Genomic DNA, 4,041 nt, shown 5'->3' on the forward strand with positions numbered 1-4,041 from the left:
ATCATGACATAGATATTTTTTTCTACACCACCCGGAACACTTTGAATTAAAGCAGGAAGCCTGATTCTAAGCCACTATTGCACTAAGCCCTGGAAAGAAAGAAGTGTGGAAGAAGGGAAGAGGATGGAAGAAAAACAACCTTTTCTGAGTAAAAAGTTTAGTCTTTCTTCCAGTGTACAGTTTAAAAATGTGGGCTCATTGGAATGAATTTGAAGGTTAGGTTACAATTTGCTTACAGCAGATTTTACGATTAAACTCATTGAATCAGCCTTTTTTTAACCCGTTAAGTGACGTATACATGGGATTAAACAGAATGAAATTCAGTTGTTTCTCAACTCACTCTCCTAGCCTCACATCTGTCAAAATCATTGCTGTTTGATTTTCTTTTCTGCAAAGGCCCCCGAGACACATTTGCCTTTAAGCGCTTGGGCACTGGTGGGAGCTGCGTGTTCTGGGTGTCTTTAAGTGCACTGGGCTGGGCTAGGCAACGCAGCTCGTGTGTCCCGGGAAAGCTGCAGTCTGCTGAGTGTAAGATACACACCCAGACCACACCTTCAGAGCCATGCAAAGCTGGAAGGAGACAGAGATAAGGTACACTGAAAGGAAGAAAGAAACTCCTCTCTCCAAGCTGCATCTGCTTGCTCAGGTGAGAGTGCAGTGCCTTGCCATTTTATTTTTCTTCTGATGAAAGAAAAGTGGCACTTGGCCTGCTCCTCTCAGTCAAGGGTTAAGAGCCATTTCTTCCTAGAGAGGTTTCCTGATACCCACTCCTATCCAGCTCTGACTTCCTGGCACCCCCCCTCAATGGGCTGCTCTTCGTCTTCTTTCTTTGTAGCCAGCTAGTGTACCACTTTCTCAGTCTCTCTCTCGACTGGGGAGTCCTCCTTCTTGACACTGGACTCCAGGAGTCTTGGAATATCTTTGCAGCCTCATGTCTAGCACTTAGTAGATGCACGATTGTTAATCGAATGAGCAAACAAACTGTGGGAACCCACAAAGCTGTTCTGACTTCCTGACTGCCCTGGTAAGCTAAATTTATGTTGCACCAGATAGGCCAAGCCTAACACTTCTTAAAATAGGAGATTCTTTGAAAAAGGGAGGGGAGTGAGGAGAGGAAAACAATGATAGAAGTGGTCTCCTGGTAAACAGAAGTAAGAGCCTTTGAAAGGATCAACAAATAAAAACAAGCTGATAATCTCTGTTTGGCTGCAAATACAGTATTCTAAATCCAGATTAGGTGCTACCTTACTTTATCAGTGTGGAGCATTCACAAATGCAGTTGTTCCAGTTTCTGCACGTATTTCTTTCCCTTTCAGTTCTGTGGTACAGTTGAAGCCATCAAAATGTTAGTATGATCTATACTAGTTATCTGGAAAGTTTTTAACTGCATCCTATAAGTAAAAAATTTATCAGCCCACATCTTCTCTTTTTATATAGCCATCAATTATCTGCATGCACTTCTGTGTTAGCATATCATGTACATTATAAAACATTATATATATATATAAATTAAAAGAAGATGATATAAAAACAGAAATAGAAATTCCAGGCCGGGCGTGGTGGCTCCCGCCTGTAATCCCAGCACTTTGGGAGGCCAAGGCAGGTGGATCACGAGGTCAAGAGATCAAGACCATCCTGGCCAACATGGTGAAACCCTGTCTCTACTAGAAATACAAAAAAATTAGCCAGGTGTGGTGGCGGGCACCTGAAGTCCCAGCTACTTGGGAGGCTGAGGCAGGAGAATGGCATGAACCCGGAAGGCGGAGCTTGCAGTGAGCCAAGATCATGCCACTGCACTCCAGCCTGGGAAACACAGCGAGACTCCGTCTCAAAAAAAAAAAGAAAAGAAATTCCAATATTTTCTCCCCAAGCCTGAGCAGATCATTGTTGCACCCTATGTGGGTGAGCTGGAGGCTGCCGCTATAGGCATGACTTTTGCCACCTGTAACTTAATGATTTGGGCAAAATCAGAGCTCCCCTCCTTTGAACTCTTGCAGGGGGATAGGTGGGATAGTGATGTGACTGTGGGCTACTCATTATGCTTCTCTCTGCCTCAGTTTACCTCTCCTTATATAGCCTTGTTTATCTTACAGAAATGTAGAGATTAATGGATGATATACCTCATTCTGGACTTTAAGAGTGAGGTCATTGATTTGACATATTGTATATTAATTCCTTCTAATCTCTTCTATTTTCTGGGAAAATTCTATTATTTCATTAAATAGTGTTGCTTCTCCCATTAAATAGGGGGTAATATTGTCATCTTCATCTTCAAATTGTGGACCTTTAGCAGGAGGAGGAAACTTAGAGGGCAGCTCTAGTCTAGTTTTTACCCAATGACATAAGGAGACTGAGCCATAAAGAAGGTGGTAGGTTGCTTGATGTGACAGATCACCCCGTTGCTTGCAAAACTGATCTCTCCTCTTTTCCTCTAATTTGGTTTCCCTCCTCTGAGTGCCCATGTGCCTGAAGGCAGGCTAGGGCCCCTCTTCAGCCTCAGGATGAGGGCGGGGCGGTGCATCTTGAGTAGGTAAGTCAACTATGGAGATACTATCTATCTGCCTTGCTAAATGATTGGGTTTATGCTTAGGTATGTAATATGGTCTGACCAAGCTTTTTGGAAAGTTTTCTTCACTTTCCAAAGAGACACACCTAGTGGACATTCCCTTCCCACCTCTGGACCTCAGTATCTCTGTGTGGCGTGGACATTCCAGTAACTGTCTTAGGGCCATGGAGGAAGCTAGCCTGTAAGGATGACCTTGTCCATGAGGTGTGACGGACTGGAAAGATGGTCACAGATCATGGAGCTGCCAACCTAACTGTCCTGGAACTTTCATAACTCTGGCCCTCATGCCATAAAAAATGATAAGTGTTCTCACTGTTTAAACTACTTTAGTTGCATTTTTGTGTAATTTGTAGCCAAAATGCATCCTAACTGATACACTTATCCAAGGAGCCTGGGGGTGGCAGAAATGGAACAAGAATCCAGAACTTTAAAATAGCAAGTACTGTACTGCTTGGGCCTTATTTACAAATCATAGCTTGAGAGAATTCATTCATCCTGCTCAGTAAGAGCAGTTTGTTCCTTTCACTTCAGGAATTTTGGTCCCTGTATACTTCGAAGTCTCTGAAAGAATAACATTATTTGATTACAGGAATGTTCTACTTCCTTGCTTCCATTGTGTGTTCAACTCTGGTGACATCTTGATGGGCTTCTTCTGGGAAAACATATTTACTTTTTCATTTTTAGCTTCTCATCCAGGGATATCCAGTTACACTATAAATGTCATCTATTGGCAAATATAATTTGCCTACAGAGGCCTGGACCAACAGTCCCTCGGTGAATTCATGACAAAACGCCTGAATGTGGAATCAGGGTAGTCGCATGTTCAAACCAAAACTCTATCCGCTGCTGGTCCAAGGTGCCTCTTGCTGTTGCCAATTAGCCGGGACACCCAGAACTAACCCAGGAGCTTATAAAGGTAATGAGTGGTTTCAAATCACCCACAGACACCCATAGTAAATGGAAAAGCTTTTGTCTTTTGTCAACATCTTTAATGGTTTCAGTTGGTAAATTATTAACAGAATATATGTGGAGTCCTCAGCATTTCAAATACATTTGCTTTCTGAACAGGAACATTGGAGAACAGTCTCTCCTGCCAAGTTCCAAGTTGCAGGTGCCCACTCTTCTGCCCTCCCTCCCTGTCTCCTGCCCTGGGCTGTGTTAGGATCTTTCTTCTCTTGCTAAAGGGGGCTTCTCTCCACACTCCTGAGAGCTCTTAGCTTCTTGTGCACATTTACCCTTGTCCAGGCCCTGTCGTATGAATAGTTCTATTTCATTCGACTCTTCCTCTCCAGACATGTGGGAGAAAGATGACAATTTGAAAAACATAGGCCAGCCGTGGTGGCTCACGCCTGTAATCCCTCACTTTGGGAGGCCGAGGTGGGTGGATCACTTGATCCCAGGAGTTCGAGACCAGCCTGGGCAACATAGTGAGACATCATCTTTACAAAAAATAAAAAATTAGCTGGGTGTGGTGG

The 4,041-nt window shown here is 43.6% G+C and overlaps 1 annotated feature.

Annotated features, from left to right (window-relative positions):
* Nucleotides 318–1,156: a transcriptional cis regulatory region, noted in NCBI's record as "candidate enhancer chr6.4966 targeted for multiplex CRISPR interference". NCBI's record gives its function as "positively regulates CITED2 gene expression in K562 cells {active_cell/tissue: K562}" and the evidence as "EXISTENCE:mutant phenotype evidence [ECO:0000015][PMID:30612741]".

The sequence above is a fragment of the Homo sapiens genome, chromosome 6 (assembly GCF_000001405.40).
Source record: "Homo sapiens chromosome 6, GRCh38.p14 Primary Assembly".
Taxonomy (NCBI): Eukaryota; Metazoa; Chordata; class Mammalia; order Primates; family Hominidae; genus Homo; species Homo sapiens.